At 38.0% G+C, this 17765-nt stretch overlaps 1 pseudogene; it reads right to left on the reverse strand.

Annotated features, from left to right (window-relative positions):
- On the reverse strand, positions 6614–8683 carry NANOGP9 (Nanog homeobox pseudogene 9; annotated as a pseudogene).

Below are 17765 nucleotides of genomic sequence, written 5' to 3' on the forward strand. Positions count from 1 at the left end.
GGAATTTCTCCGTGGCTTTGTTTACACTGTGAGGGGAAAACCACCTACACAAGCCTCAGTAATGGCAGATGTCCCTCCCCTCACCAAGCTTGAGCCTCCCAGGTTGACTTCAGACTGCTGTGCTGGCAGCAAGAATTTCAAGCCAATGAATCTTAGCTTGCTGGGCTCCATGGAGTTAGGATCTGCTGAGCTAGACCACTTGGCTTTCTGGCCTCAGCCTCCTTTCCAGGGGAGTGAATGGTTCTGTCTCGCTGGCATTCCAGACACCACTGGGGTATGAAAAAAAACTCCTGCAGCTAGCTCGATGTCTGCCCAAATGGCCACCCAGTTTTGTACTTGAAAACCAGGGCCCTGGTAGCATAGGCACCAGAGGGAATCTCCTGGTCTGCCAGTTGCGATGACCATGGGAAAAGTGTAGTATCTGGGCTGGAGTGCACCATTCCTCAAGCCACAGTCTTTCAAGGCTTCCCTTGTCTAGGGAGGGAGTTCCCCGACCCCTTGTGCTTCTCGGGTGAGGTGATGCCCCACCCTGCTTCAGCTCGCCCTCCATGGGCTGCATCCACTGTCTAACCATTCCCTATGAGAGGAGCTGGGTACCTTAATGTATATGGCCAAACTGTTGTATTAATTTATATAATAAAAAGTTGTATTAATTTTTATTTCCATGTGGTTAATTCTAACAATCTTCTTTTATGTTATTAGGTGCTGAATTAATAGGTTAAATATTTAAATTTAAAAAAAATTTTAAAAATATAAATGACTTTTTCTCATGTGTACTGATTACTAGTGTTTGTTCTCATTTGAATTGCCTTTCCATGTCCCTTGCCATTTTTTAAATTGAGGAATTGATTTTTTATGATTTAAAAGAATTATTTATATAATTCTTGAAATATATCCTTTGTTATAGATAATTTAAATATACCCTCCATCCCATTTGTCAACTTTGTTTATGGTGTATGTGTATGCACACAGATGCATGAGTTTAAGCATTCAGAATATTTTCTTTTTTTGGGGGGCATATATATGATTTCTTCCTTAATTTGAGTTTAATTTTAGCTTTTGCAACTGCTTGTGCCTCGAAAATAGAAACTAGATTTTTTCTTATCCTCCATGGTGTCTATGGTGGGACTTTGCAAATAACAGGGGCCTAGTAAATGTTTCATTAAAATCAAATCAGTCTTTTGACAGATTTGAAGAATGCAGTGGAATTAGTCAAAGGACATGTTTTTCAGATGACCTTATCCTGAATGTGACTTATTGTATATACTTTCTTTCCATTCCTATTGTATACATTCTTGCTAACATTTATTTTTGTCATTTAAAAATTTTAGCCATCTGCTATGGTTTGGATATGGTTTGTTTGTCCCCAGTAAAGCTCATGCTGAAATTTGATTCCCAGTGTAGTGATGTTGGGAGGTGGGGTCGGTGAGTGGTATTTGGGTAATTGAAGCTGATTCCTCATGGATGGCTTGGTGACATTCTCGTAGCAGTGAATTCTCACTCTTACAAGATTGGATTAGTTCTTGTAGGAATGGATTAGTTACTGTGAGAGTAGATTGTTATAAAGCCAGGATGTCCCTCAGATTTTCCTGTCTTCACAGGTGCCTGTTTCCCCTTTGACCCTCTTTGCCATGTTGTGATGCAGCAAAAAACCCTCATCAGAAGACAGGGCTGTGCTCTTGAACTTCTCAGCCTGTAGAACTGTGAGCAAAATAAATCTCTTTTCTTTGTAAATTACCCAGTCTCAGGTATTCTTTTATAGTAACACAAAATTGACTAAGATACTATTCTAGTGGGTGTAAAGTGGTATCTCACTGTGGTTTTAATTTATAATACCCTAATAAAAAATAATGTTGGGAAACTTTTCATATGTTTATTGGCCATTTAAATATCTTCTTTGGAGAAATGTCTATATAGATCCTTTACCTAATTATGTTGTTTTTTATTGTTGATGTTAAAATTTTCTTTATATATTTTAGATTTAAGTCCCTTATTAGATGTATGTTTTACAAATGTATTTTTCCATTCTATGGGTTGCCTTTCTACTTTCTTGATAGCATCGTTTGAAGCACAAAGATTTTAACTTTGATGATGTCCAGTTTACCTATTTTTTATTTTGTTCTTTTGCCTTTAGTGTCATATCTAAGAAATCATTGTTTCATAGAAGGTTACAAAGATTTACTCCTAATATTTTATTCTATGAGTGTTATAGTTTCAGCTCTTACATTTAGGTCTTTGACCAATTTTGAGTTAATTGTTATATATGGTGTGAAGTAGGGGGTTCAACTCTATTTTTTATGTGTGTTTATCCAATTATCCTAGCACTGTTTTTTAAAGATTATTTTTTCCCCTTGGCATTTTTGTTGAAAATCATTGACTGTAAATATGAAGGTTTATTTCAGAACTAAAAATTTTATATGTCTGTCCTTATGCAGGTAGCACACTGCACTGACTGCAGTACCTGCATAGTAAAATTCGACATTGAGGAGTGCTAGTATTCCATTATTGCTCTTCTTTTTAAAAATTGTTTTGACTATTTTGATCTCTTTGAATTTACATATGAATTTTAGGATCAGCTTGTCAATTTCTACAAATAACTTAGCTGGGGTTCTGTTAGGAATTGTTTTGAATTTCTAGCTCAATTTGAATAGTATTGCCATCTTAAGAATATTTAGTCTTCCAATCCATGGACATAGAATGCTGATATGGTTTGGATTTGTGTCCCCGCCCAAATCTCATGTTGAATTGTAATCCCCAGTGGAGGGCCCAGAGGAGGGGCCTGGTGAGAGGTGATTGGATCATAGGAGTGGATTTCTCCCTTGCTTTTCTCATGATAGTGAGTGAGTTCTCATGAGATCTGGTTGTTTAAAAGTATGTAACATCTCCCACTTCATCCTCTTTTCCTCCTGCTCTGGCCAGGTAAAACATGCTTCCTTTTTATTTGCCTCCGCCATCATTGTAAATTTCCTGAGGCCTCCCCAGCCATGCTTCCTGTACAGCCTGAAGAACCATAAGCCAACTACACGTCCTTTCTTTGCAAATTACCCAGTCTCAGGTATTTCTTTATAACAACGAGAGAATGAACTAATAACAGAAAATTGGTACCTAGGAGTGGGGCATTGCTATAAAGATACCTGAAAATCTGTAAGCAACTTTAGAACTGGGCGATGGGCAGAGGTTGGAACAGTTTGGAGATCTCAATAGAAGACAGCAAGATGAGGGAAAGTTTGGAACTTCCTAGAGACTTGTTGAATGGTTGTGACCAAAATACTGATAGTGATATGGACAATGAAGTCCAGGCTCAGGAGGTTTCAGATGGAGATGAGGAACTTACTGGGGACTAGAGAAAAAGTCATTCTTGCTATGCTTTAGCAAAGAGACTGGAAACATTGTGCCCCTGCTCTAGGGATCTTTGGAACTTTGAACTTGAGAATGATGATTTAGGGTATCTGATGGAAGAAATTTCTAAGCAGCAAAATGTTCAAGATGTAGCCAGACTGCTTCTAACACCATATGGTCATATGCATGGGCAAAGAGATGATCTGAAACTGGAACTTATATTTGAAAGGGAAGCAGAACATAAAAGTTTAGAAAATTTGCAGCCTGACCATGTGGTAGAAAAAAAATTTTGGTTTCCTTGGGAGGAATTCAAGCCAGCTGCAGAAATTTGCATAAATGAAGAGGAGCTGAATGTTAATAGCCAAAACAATGGGGAAAATGTCTTGAAGGCATTTCAGAGACCATTGTGGCAGCCCCTCCCATCACAGGCCTGGCCTAGAAGGGAAGAATAGTTTCATGGTCAGGCCCAGAGCCCGCTGCCCTGCTCAGCCTTGGGACACTGCTCCCTGCATCTTAGTCACTCCAGCTCCAGTTGTGGCTAAAAAGGGCCCCAGACATGTCTCAGGCCACTGCTCCACAGAGTGCAAGCTGTAAGTCTTGACAGCTTCAACATGGTGTTAGGCCTGCAGGTGCACATAGGGCAAGAGTGGAGGCTTGGGAGCCTCTACCTAGATTTTGGAGGATGTATGGAAACACCTGGATGTCCGTTCGGAAGTCTGCTGCAGGAGCAGAGACCTCATGGAGAACCTCTACTAGGGCAGTGAGGAGGGGAAATGTGGGGTGGATCCCCCACACAGAGTCTCCACTGGGGCACTACCTAGTGGAGCTGTGAGAAGACAGCCACCATCCTCCAGACCCCAGAATGGTAGATCCACTGACAGCTTGCACCATGCTCTTGGAAAAGCTGCAGGCACTCAATGCCAGTCCATGAAAGCAGCTGAGGGAGCTGTACCCTGCAGAGCCACAGGGGAACAGGTGCTCTGGGCCTTGGGAACCCACCCCTTGCATCAGGATGGCCTGGATTTGAGACACGGAGTCAAAAGAAGTTATTTTGGAGTTTTAAGATTTAATGACTGCCCTGCTGGGTTATGGACTTGCATGGGGCCTGTAGTCTCTTTGTTTTGCCTGTCTCTCTTTTGGAATAATTGTGTTTACCCAATGCCTGTACCTGATTGTATCTTGGAAATAACTAACTTGTTTTTGATTTTACAGGCTTTCACATAGGTGAAAGGGATTTGCCTTGTCTCAAATGAGACTTTGCACTATGGACTTTTGAGTTAATCTTGAAATGAGTTAAGACTTGGCAGACTGTTGAGAAGGGATTATTATATTTTACAATGTGAGAAGTACATGAGATTTGAGAGGTACCAGGAGCAGAATGAGATGGTTCGGATTTATATCCCCACCCAAATCTCATGTCAAATATAATCCCTAATGTTAGAGAAGGGGCCTGGTAGGGGGTGATTGGATCATGGGGGCAAACTTCCCCCTTGCTGTTCTTGTGATACTGAGCGAGTTTTCACAAGATCTAGTTGTTTAAAACTGTGTAGCACCTCCCCCTTCACCCTTTCTTCATCCTGCTCTGGCCTTGTAAGATGTGCCTCCTTCCTCTTCACCTTTTGCCATGATTGTCAGTTTCCTGAGGCCTCTTCAGCCATGCTTCCTGTACAGCCTGTGGAACCATGAGCCAATTAAAGCTCTTTTTTAAAATAAATTATCCAATCTCAGGTAGTTCCTTATAGCAATGCGAGTATGGACTAATACAAATGCCTTTCTATTTATTCAGGTCTTCATCATTTTCTTTCATTAGCATTGGTAATTTTTAGCCTACAGAACTATACATGTTTTCTTGCATGTATAATTAAATATTTTCTTTGAGTGATTGTACATTATATTGTGTTTTAAATTTTGATTTCCACGTGGTCATTATTACTATATAAAAATGCGAATGATTTTTGTGTGTTGATGTTGGGTCCTGTGACCTTGATGAGTTCCCATATTAGTTCTAATAAGTTTTTTGTATATCTCTTGATATTTCCTATGTAGATCATCATTTCACATGTAAATAGGGACAATTTTACTTCTTCCTTCACAATCTGTTTTCTTTGTTTCCTCTTTTGCCTTATTGTGATGGCTAGAAATAAGAGTGATAAGTGCCAGGTGTGGTGGCTGATGCCTGTAATCCCAGCACTTTGGGAGGCCAAGGCAGGCAGATCACGTGGTGAGGAGATAGAGACCATCCTGGCCAACATGGTGAAACCTTGTCTCTACTAAAAATACAAAAATTGGCTGGGTGTGGTGGTGTGTGCCTGTAATCCCAGCTACTCAGGAGGCTGAGGCAGGAGAATCACTTGAACCCGGGAGACGGAGGTTGCAGTGAGCTGAGATCACACCACTGCACTCCAGCCTGAGTGGCAAAGTAAGACTCTGACTCAACAACAACCAAAAGAGTGATAAGAGTAAGCATTCTTTTTTATTTTATATGTATATATTTATTATATTTATATATAAATATATATTATCTAGATAATATATATAATATATATTATCTAGATAATATATATTATCTATATAATATAGATAATATATATTATCTATATTATCTAGATAATATATATTATCTAGATAATATAGATAATATATATTATCTATATTATCTAGATAATATATAATATATATAATATATTTATATATAATATATATTATATATAAATATATATATTTCTCAAATAAATATATATATATATATACATATTTTTTTTTTGAAACAGAGTCTCGCTCTGTTGCCCAGGCTGGGGTGCAGTGGTGTGATCTCAGCTCACTGCAACCTCCGCCTCCCGGGTTCAAAGATTCTCCTGCCTTAGCCTCCCAAGTAGCTGGGACTACAGGCACCCACCACCACTCCCGGGTAATTTTCGTATTTTTAGTACAGATGGGGTTTCACCATGTTGGTCAGGCTGGTCTCGAACTCCTGACCTTGTGATCTGCCTGCCTCCGCCTCCCAAAGTGCTGGGATTACAGGGAGTGAGCATTCTTGATTTGTTCCCAATTTCATGGGAAAGTATTCAGTCTTTAATTATTAAATATCATGTCAACTGTATGTATAATGTAGACACTCTGTATCAGATTTCTCTGTATTCCTAGTTTGCTGAGAGTTTTTATTATTAATGGTTATTGAGTTTTGTTTAATGTTATTTCTCTATCAATTAATATGATCATACAATTTTTCTTCTTTAGCCCATTGATACTACATGTGTTGCTTTTTAAATATTTTTAAAGGAAAAATGGTTGTTTTATTTATTTGTACTTAAAGCAGCCAAAGTAGTACTGATGTCATTATAATGCAGCAAATGCAAGACCTCTTTCCACAAATATTAGCATAACCAACAAAATAGGGGGCATAGTAAGACAGAGCCATAAAGGGCTGAGGAAATCAATGAAGTATGTTACAGCATAACCCTTCACTCTTCACCTCAATCCTTCACCCTTCACCTCCATAGAGTTTTTATTTTATTTTATTTCATTTTATTTATTTATTTTTTTGAGGCGGAGTCTGGCTCTGTCACCCAGGCTGGATTGCTGTGGCTCTATCTTGGCTCACTGCAGCCTCCACCACCTGGGGTCAAGTGATTCTCCTGCCTCAGCCTCCCGAGTAGCTGGGATTATAGGCACCTGAGACCATGCCAGGCTAATTTTTTTATTTTAGTAGAGATGGGGTTTCATCATGTTGACGAGACTGGTATTGAACTCCTAACCTGAGGTGATCTGCCTGACTTGGCCTTCCAAAGTGCTGGAATTACAGGCATGAGCCACCGCACCTGGCCTCGACAGAGTTTTTTTTTTTTTTTTAATAAGTAAAGCCCAATCCCAAACAGTAGGAATATACCTTCATCACACCAATTTGTACTTTTGTTTCTTATTCTTGAGGTTAGATTCTAAACCCTAAAGATATCCGAACTAGTATTAGATCTACTTATCTATAGCCAGAGACATCTTCTATCATGTTGTCCTTAGCAGCCAAGGTTATTAAAATGTCTTTTCTCCAGGAAGATCTAATAGGAAAAAAGAAAGAAACCTCTCTGAGTAGGCTCCAAGCATACCCCACCCTCCATCAAATTGACTGGATAGGCATAATGGAAACCAGAACACATGGTTTCCAAACAACAAAAATCCTATGAGGGAGGGGAGGGGAGAGGAAGGATTCAGTCAGTGCCCAGACTGAAATTGAGTAATAGCAACTTCACTCATGTTCACACATCTTAAGGTTGCATGTTTGTGGAGTACTTTAGGAATAAATCTATGGCTTGTGGAGTACTAAAATACCTAGTGGTCTGCTGTACTACATTATGGCTTTCCCCAGCAGTTTCCAAGGCAACCTCCAAGTCAGGAGAATTTGGCTGGAACTGCATGCAGGACTGCAGAGATTCCTCTCCACAGTTATAGAAGGAAGTGTTTCAGGCCTGATTGTTCCAGGACTGGGTGCACCAGGTCTGAGTGTTCCAGGACTGGATGTTCCGGGTGTGGTTGCTCCAGGTTGAATTGCTCTAGGTTTGGTTGCTCCACATTGGAAGGTTTCCAGTCGTGTTCACCAGGCATCCGTGGTGGTAGGAAGAGTAGAGACTGGGGTAAGTAGGTGCTGAGGCCTTCCGAGTCACACCATTGCTATTTTTTGGCCAGTCGTTTTTCTGCCACCTCTTAGATTTCATCCTCTGGTTCTGGAACCAGGTCTTCACCTTTGTAGCTGAGGTTCAGGATGTTGGAAAGTTCTTGCATCTGCTGGAGGCTGAAGTATTTCTGTCTCTGCAATCTATCATTGAGTACACACAGCTGGTTGGAAGAGAACAGAGTTCTGGTCTTCTGTTTCTTGACTGGGACCTTGTTTTCCTTTTTTGTGGCACTCTTCTCTGCAGAAGTGGGTTGCTTGCCTTTGGGACTGGTGGAAGAATCAGGGCTGTCCTGAATAAGCAGATCCATGGAGGAAGGAAGAGGAGAGACAGTCTCTGTGTGAGGCATCTCAGCAGAAGACATTTGCAAGGATGGATAGTTTTCTTCAGGCCCACAAATTACAGGTGTAGGTGAAAAGTCTTTACAGTCGGATGCTTCAGAGAAAGGCAGGCTTTGTGAACAAGCTGAATCCACACTCATGTTATTATTGGGGAAGAGGAGAAAAAATTTAAGAGCTGGACTGGAAAAAAGACTAGGGTGGCTTTAAGACTTTTTTTCTGGAAGATCTTAGAGAAATATGACCTCCAGAAGCAAAAGTATCAAGAAGTTGGGATGAAGTGAGTCACCTCCACAATAGCAGGAGGCAACCAGCTCAGTCTAGCAAAACAGCTTTTTAAATATTGAAAGAACTCTGCAGACATAGACTAACTCTTATGCTTTTATGTTGTATTATTCTTTTTTATAGACTGCTGTGGTCTGAAAGTTTGTGTCCCTCCAACATTCATATGTTGAAATCTAGTCACTAAGTTGAGGCCATTAAGAGGTGGGGAATTTTGGAAGGTGATTAGATCATGAAGGCAAAACCCTCATTATTGGGAATAGTGCCCTCATAAAAGACCCCAGGGAGCTAGCTATCTTCTTCAATCATGTGCCATCTTTCAGTCAGAAAATAGGCCATCACTAGACAATGAATCTGCTGGTGACTTGATGTTGGACTTTCCAGTGTCTAGAGCTATGAAAAATAAATTTGTATTATTTATAAACTACCTAGTTTATAGTACTGTGTTATAGCAGCCTGAATGAAACTACGACATAGACTGTTGGATTAGATTTACTTAAATTCAAATGAAGATCTCCACATCTAAGTTTACAAGATGCTGGTCTATACTTTTCTTGGTTTGCACTGTCTTTGACTGATTTTGGTTTTAAAGTAATACTAGCTTTATAAGATGAATTGAGTAGTGTTTTCTATTTTCTGGAAGAGTTTGTGTAAAATAAGTGTTAATTCTACTTTAAACATTTGTAAGAATTCTGTAGTGAAACCATCTGATCCTATAGATTTTTCATTCAGGAACTTTTAAATTAATATTTCAATTTTGTTAATAATTATAGAAACATCCAGATTGCACATTTCATCTTTATTGAATTTTGGAAGTTTGAGATTTTTAAGAAATTGGTCCTTTTTCTTGTCAAATTTTTCAGTGTAACTTTTGAAATAGTATTCCTTATTATCTTTTTAATAGTTGCAGGTTCTATAGAGATACTCTCTACTTTATTCCTAATATTTGGATATATTGTCTCTGTCTTAATCTTTGTCAGTTTTGCTAGAGGTTCGTCAATTTTGTTAATTTTTTTCTCCTAGAGAACCAGCTCTTTGTTTCATCAATTTTTCTTTTTCTTTTCTTCTTTTTTTTTTTTTTTTTCAAGACCTCACTCTGTTGCCTAGGCTGCAGTGCAGGGGTGCTATCATGGTTCATTGCAGCCTCGACCTCCTGGGCTCAAGTGATCCTCAGCCTCCCAGGTAACTGGGACTACAGGCACACATCACCATGCCAGGCTAATTTTTATATTTTTTGTAGAGACAGGTTTTTGTCATGTTGTCTAGGCTGGTCTCAAACTCTTCTGGCTAAAGTGATCTGCCCATCTTAGCTTTCTGAAGTGCTGGGATTATAGTCATGTGCTACTGTGCCCAGCTGTTTTTTTTTTTAAATATTAAATCTCATTAATTAAAAAGGTGTTTGGGCTGGGCAAGGTGGCTCACGCCTGCAATCCCAGCACTTTGGGAGGCCGAGGCGAGCGGATCACGGGGTCAGGAGTTCGAGACCAGCCTGACCAACATGGTGAAACCCAGTGTCTACTAAAAATACAAAAATTAGCCAGGCATGGTGGCATATGCCTGTAATCCCAGCTACTCAGGAGGCTGAGGCAGGAGAATTTCTTGAACTGGGAGGCAGTGAGCCAAGATCGCACCAGTGCATACCAGTCTGGGTAACAGAGCAAGACTCCGTCTCAAAAAAAAAGTCTTTACCAATTACTTCCTTCTGTTCACCTTGGGCTTACTTTGCTCTTCTTTTACAAGTTTTTATTTTTGCAGTAGACATTTTAAAAAAGAGAAGACCTTTTTAAATTAACATTTAATGATGTAGTTTTTCCTCTCGGCACTATTTTAATTCATCCCACATATTTTAATATATTCTATTTTGTTTTCATTACGCTCTATGTATTTTCTAATTGAGGTAAAATTCAGGTAATATAAAATTAACCATTTTAAAGTGTACATTTTAGTGACAGTTAGTATATTGACCATGTTGTATAGCCATAACTTCTGTCTAGTTCCCAAACATTTTTATCCCTACAAAAGTAAATGACATAACCATTAAGTAGCCACTGCCCACTGCCCTTTACCCCCAGCCCTGAGCAACCACTAATCTGCTTTCTGTTTCTCTGCATTTACCTATGCTGGATATTTCACATCAATGAAATCATACATTAGTGACTTTTTGCATCTGGCTGCATTCACTTAACATAATGTTTTTTAAGTTCATTCATATTGTAGCATGTATTAATGCTTCCTTCTTTTGTTTTTTTTTTTTTTTTTCTTGAGAAGGAGTCTTGCTCTATCGCCCGGGCAGGAGTGCAGTGGCACGATCTCTGCTCACTGCAACCTCTGCCTCCCAGGTTCAAGCGATTCTCCTGCCTCAGCCTCCTGAGTACCTGGGACTACAGGCGTGTGCCACCACAACCAGCTAATTTTTTGTATTTTTAGTAGAGACGGGGTTTTACCGTGTTAGCCAGAGTGGTCTCGATCTCCTGATGTCGTGATCCGCCCACCTCGGCCTCCCAAAGTGCTGTGATTACAGGCATGAGCCACCGCACCTGTGCTTCATTCTTTTTAAGACCAAGTAATATTCCACTGTATGGATATACTGCATTTTGTTCATCCATTCCTCAGTTGACATTTGGATTCTTTCCGCTTTTTGGCTATTGTAAATAGTGCCATGGCCATCATGCACATGTTTCTGTTTGAATACTTGTTTCTTGGACATATACTTAAAAGTAGAATTTCCCAACAGAAAAGTACAAGGGCTGCAATCTTTCCATATCATTCCTAATACTTGATTTTTTCTATTTTAAAGAAATTATAGCCACCCTAGTGGGTATAAAGTGGTCTCCTGCTGTCATTTTGATTTGTATTTCCCCAATAGCTAATGATGTTGAAAATATTTTCATATGCTGGCTGATCATTTGCACGTCTTCTTCTTTGGAAAAATGTCTATTCTAATCCTTTTTATGTTTTAATTTGGTCAAATGTCACTTGGTTGTTGAGTTGTAACAGTTCTGGGTACTAGAACCTTATCAGGCATGTGATTTGCAGGTATTTTCTCCCATTCTGTGGATGGTGTTTTTACTTCCTTTGTAGTGACCTTTGATGCACAAAAATTTTTAATTTTGACACTAATTTATCTATTTTTTTGTTTCTTGTGCATTTGGCGCATACCTAAGACTTCCTTGCCAAATCCAAGGTCTTGAAGACTCACTACATATTTTTTCTAAGAGTTTTATACTTTTCCCTCTTACACTTAGGTCTTTCATTTTGAGTTAATTTTTGCATATGGTGTGAGGTAGAATGTCCACTTTTTTTGCATGTAGATATTCAGTTTTTCTAGCATTCTTTGTTGAATATTTTTTCCATACTGAAGGATTTTGACATCCTTATTAAACATCAGTGGACCAGCTGGAAGCAGTGGCTCATGCCTGTAATACCAGCACTTTGGAAGGCCGAGGCAGGTGGATCACGTGAGGTCAGGAGTTCAAGACCAGTCTGACCAACATGGTAAAACCCCATCTCTACTAAAAATATAAAAATTAGCTGGGTGTGGTGGCAGGTGCCTGTAATCTCAGCTGCTCTGGAGGCTGAGGCAGGAGAATAGCTTGAATCTGGGAGGCGGAGGTTGCACTGAGCTGAGATCAGGTCAGTATACTCCAGCCTGGGTGACAGGGCAAGACTCTGTCTCAAAAATAAATAAATAAATAAAAATAAAAAATCAATGAACCACATATGTAAGTATTTATTTCTGGAATCTCTATTCTATCCCATTAATCTATATGTCCATCCATATGCTAGTATGAGAATATTTTAATTATTGTGGCTCTGTAGTAAGTTTTGAAATAGGGAAGTGTGAGTCTTCTAATTTTGTTTTTCTTTCTCTAAATTGTTTTGGCTATACAGGGTCCCTTGCAATTCTACCTGAATTTTAGATCAGCTTTTTCATTTCTGCAACAAGCGCCTTTGAAAATTTGATTGGGATTACTTTGAAATCCTAGGTCACTTTGTGTAGTATTGGCATCTCAGCAATATGAAGTTTTCCAATCCATGAACACAAGATGTCTTCTCATTTATTTAGATCTATAATATTTTCAGCAATATTTTATAGGTTTTCAATGTATATATCTTGCATTGTCTTGGTTAAATTTGTTCCTAAGTATTTTATTCTTTTTGATTCTATTGTAAATGAAATTGTTTTCTTAATTTCTTTTTCAGATTGTTAATTGCTTGTTTATACATATACAACTGATTTTTGTGTATTGATTGTGTATCCTGAAACATAGCTGAATTCATTAAATCAGGAAGTTTGTGGAGTTTAAATGATTTTGTATATGTAAGATCATTTTATCTCCAAACAGACATAGTTTTATGTCTTCCTTTCCAATTTTGATGTATTTTCTTTCTTTTCCTTGCCTAATTGCTCAGGCTAAATCTTCACATACAATGTTTGATGGAAGTTGGGAAAGGGAGCATTTTTGTCTTTTTTCTGATTTTAGGGGGGAAAGTTTTCAGTTTTCATCATTGTGTATAATGTTAGTTGTGGGCACATACCAGAATATCTGGGACATATTTAAAGCAGTGTGTAGAGGGAAATTTATAGCACTAAATGCCCACGAGAGAAAGCAGGAGAGATCTAAAATTGACACCCTAACATCACAATTGAAAGAACTAGAGAAGCAAGAGCAAACAAATTTGAAAGCTAGCAGAAGGCAAGAAATAACTAAGATCAGAGCAGAACTGAAGGAGATATAAACACAAAAAACCCTTCAAAAAATGAATGAATCCAGGACGTGGTTTCTTGAAAAGATCAGCAAAATTGATAGACCGCTAGCAAGACTGATAAAAAAGAAAAGAGAGAAGAATCAAATAGATGCAATAAAAAATGATAAAGGGATACCACCACTGATCTCACAGAAATATAAACTACTATCAGAGAATACTATAAACACCTCTACACAAATAAACTAGAAAATCTAGAAGAAATGAATAAATTCCTGGGCACTTACACCCTCCCAAGACTAAACCAGGAAGAAGTTGAATCTCTGAAGAGACGAATAACAGGTTCTGAAATTGAGGCAGTAATTAATAGCTTACCAACCAAAAAAAAGGCCAGGACCAGATGGATTCACAGCTGAATTCTACCAGAGTTACAAAGGGGAGCTGGTACCATTCCTTCTGAAAGTATTCCAATCAATAGAAAAAGAGGGAATCCTCCCTAAGTCATTTTATGAGGCCAGCATCATCCTGATACCAAATCCTGGCAGAGGCACAACAAAAAAAGAGAATTTTAGACCAATATCACTGATGAACATCGATGCAAAAATCCTCAATAAAATACTGGCAAATTGAATCCAGCAGCACATCAAAAAGCTTATCCACCACGATCAAGTCGACTTCATCCCTGGGGTGCAAGGCTGGTTCAACATATACAAATCAATAAACGTAATCCAACACATAAACAGAACCAACGACAAAAACCACATGAATATCTTAGTAGATGCAGAAAAGACCTTCAACAAAATTCAACAGCGCTTCATGCTGAAAACTCTCAGTAAACTAGGTATTGATGGAATGTATCTCAAAATAATAAGAGCTATTTATGACAAACCCACAGCCAACATCATACTGAATGGGCAAAAACTGGGAGCATTCCCTTTGAAAACCAGCACAAGACACAGATGCCCTCTCTCAGCACTCCTCTTCAACATAGTGTTGGAAGTTCTGGCCAGGGCAATCAGGCAAGAGAAAGAAATAAAGGGTATTCAATTAGGAAATGAGGAAGTCAAATTGCCCGTTTGCAGATGACATGACTGTATATTTAGAAAACCCCATCACCTCAGCCCAAAATCTCCTTAAGCTGATAAGCAACTTTAGCAAAGTCTCAGGATTCAAAATCAATGTGCAAAAATCACAAGCATTCTTATACACCAATAACAGACAAACAGAACCAAATCGTGAGTGAACTCCCATTCACAATTGCTACAAAGAGAATAAAATACCTAGGAACCTAACTTACAAGGGAAGTGAAAGACCTCTTCAAGGAGAACTACAAACCATTGTTCAACCAAATAAAAGAGGACACAAACAAATGGAAGAACATCTCATGCTCCTGGATAGGAAGAATCAATATCGTGAAAATGGCCATACTGCCCAAGGTAATTTATAGATTCAATGCCATCCCCATCAAGCTACCAATGACTTTCTTCACAGAATTGGAAAAAACTAAAGCTCATATGGAACCAAAAAAGAGCCTGCATTTCCAAGACAATCCTAAGCAAAAAGAACAAAGCTGGAGGCATCACGCTACCTGACTTCAAAGTATACTACAAGTCTACAGTAACCAAAACAGCATGGTACTGGTACCAAAACAGATATATAGACCAATGGAACAGAACAGAGGCCTCAGAAATAACACCACACATCAACAACTATCTGATCTTTGACAAACCTGACAAAAACAAGAAAGAAGAAAAGGGGAAAGGATTCCCTATTTAATAAATGGTGCTGGGAAAACTGGCTAGCCACATGTAGAAAGCTGAAACTGGATCCCTTCCTTACACCTTATACAAACATTAATTCAAGATGGATTGAAGACTTAAATGTTATACCTAAAACCATAAAAACCCTAGAAGAAAACCTAGGCAATTCCATTCAGGACATAGGCATGGGCAAGGACTTCATGACTAAAACACAAAAAGCAATGGCAACAAAAGCCAAAATAGACAAATAGGATCTAATTAAACTAAAGAGCTTCTGCATGGCAAAAGAAACTACTATCAGAGTGAACAGGCAATCTACAGAATGGGAGAAAATTTTTACAATCTACCCATCTGACAAAGGGCTAATATCCAGAATCTACAAAAACTTAAGCAAATTTGCAAGAAAAAAAACAACCCCATCAAAAAGTGGGCAAAGGATATGAACAGACACCTCTCAAATAAGACATTTACACAGCCAACAGGCACATGTAAAAATGCTCATCGTCATTGGTCATCAGAGAAATGCAAATCAAAACCACAATGGGATACCATTTCATGCCAGTCAGAATGATAATCATTAAAAAGTCAGGAAACAACAGATGCTGGTGAGGATGTGGAGAAATAGGAATGCTTTTACACTGTTGGTGGGAGTGTAAATTAGTTCAACCATTGTGGAAGACAGTGTGACCATTCCTCAAGGATCTAGAACTAGAAATACCATTTGACCCAGCAATCCCATTACTGGGTATATACCCAAAGGATTATAAATCATGCTACTATAAAGACACATGCACACGTATGTTTATTGCAGCACTATTCACAATAGCAAAGACTTGGAACCAATCCAAATTCCATCAATGATAGACTGGATTAAGAAAATGTGGCACATATACACCATGGAATAATATGCAGCCATAAAAAAGATGAGTTCATGTCCTTTTCAGGGACATGGATGCAGCTGGAAATTATCATTCTCAGTAAACTATCGCAAGGACAGAAAACCAAACACCACATGTTCTCACTCATAGGTGGGAATTGAACAATGAGAACACTTGGACACAGGGCGGGGAACATCACACACCAGGGCCTGTCAGGATGTGGGGGCTGGGGGAGGGATAACTTTAGGAGAAATACCTAATGTAACTGACGAGTTGATGGTTGCAGCAAACCAACATGGCACATGTATACCTATGTAACAGACGTGCACATTGTACCCAGGTACCCTAGAACTTAAAGTATAATAATAATAATAATAATAATAATAATAATAATAATAATAATAAAATGTTAGTTGTGGGTTTTTTGTAAGTATCCTTTTTCATGTTGAGGAAGTTTCCTTATATTTCTAGTTTGTTGAATTTTTAAGGAAGTGGTGTTCAATCTTAGAAAGTGTTTCTTCTGCATCAATTGAGATGATTCTTTAGTTTTTTTTTCATTTTATTAATGTTTGATATTTCACTGGTTGCTTTTCCTAAATCATACTTGCATTCCTAGAATAAATTACATTTGGTCAGTATATATAATCTTAATATGCTGTTGGATTCATTTTGCTATAGTTTTCTTCCTTGTAGAGTCTTTGGTTTTGGTATCAGGGAATGCTAGCCACAAGAAATGCTTTAGAAAGTATTCCCACCTCTTTTATGTTTGGAAGGGTTTGAGAAGGATTGTTGTGAATTCTTTAAATGTTTGGTTGGATTCAACAGTGAAGCCATATGGTCCTAGAATTTTCTTTGTTGGAAGGGTTTTGGTTGCTGACTCAATCTGTTCCCTTGCTATAGATTCGTTCAGATTTTCTGTTTCCTTTTCAGTCAGTTCTGGTAGCTTATATGTTTCCAGGAATTTATACATTTCATTTAGGCTATCTATTTTGTGTGTGTGTATAGTTGTTCATAAGTATTATCTCATTGCTCTTTTTATTTCTGTAAGATCTATAGTAATGTTCTCACTTTAATTTCTGATTTTAGTAATTTGAGCCTTTTTTTCGTAGTCAGTGAAGCTAAAAGTTTATACATTTTGTTGGTATTTTCAGATAATTATTGGTTGTGTTGATTCCCTTTATTGCTTTTCTACTCACCTTTTTGTTATATGTTATCTCCTAATTTTTATAATTTCCTTCCTTCTCCTATCTTTGGTTTTATTTTACTTTTTTTCTTGTTCTTATTGTGCAAAGATGATAGGTTATTGATTTTGGATTTCTTTCTTCTTTTTTAATATAGTCACTTACAGCTATAAATTTACCTCTGAGCCTTCTCATGAGTTTTGATGTGTTGTGTTTTCTTTTTCATTTGACTCAAAGTATTTTCTAATTTTACTTTTAATTTCTTCTTCGTTTAATGTTGTTTAATATTTCTATGTTTGTCGGGTTTCCAGTTTCCCTTTTATTATTGAGTTTTAGTTTCATTACATTGTTGTCAGAGAATGTATACGCTTTTATTTTTTTGTGGCCAATATATGGTATATTTTAGAGAAGGTTTAATGTGCATCTGAGGAAAACGGAACAATAGAATAAGCAAAACAATGGTATCCTGCTATTGCTGGTTGTAGCGTCCCATAGATATTAGGTCTAGTTGGTTTAGTGTGGCTTAAACCCTTTATTTTTCTTCTGTCTAGTTATTATATCCATTAATGAAAGTGGGATATTAAAATTTCCAAATATTATTTTAGAACTGTCTACT

The sequence above is a fragment of the Homo sapiens genome, chromosome X (genome assembly GCF_000001405.40).
Source record: "Homo sapiens chromosome X, GRCh38.p14 Primary Assembly".
In the NCBI taxonomy this organism is placed as follows: domain Eukaryota; kingdom Metazoa; phylum Chordata; class Mammalia; order Primates; family Hominidae; genus Homo; species Homo sapiens.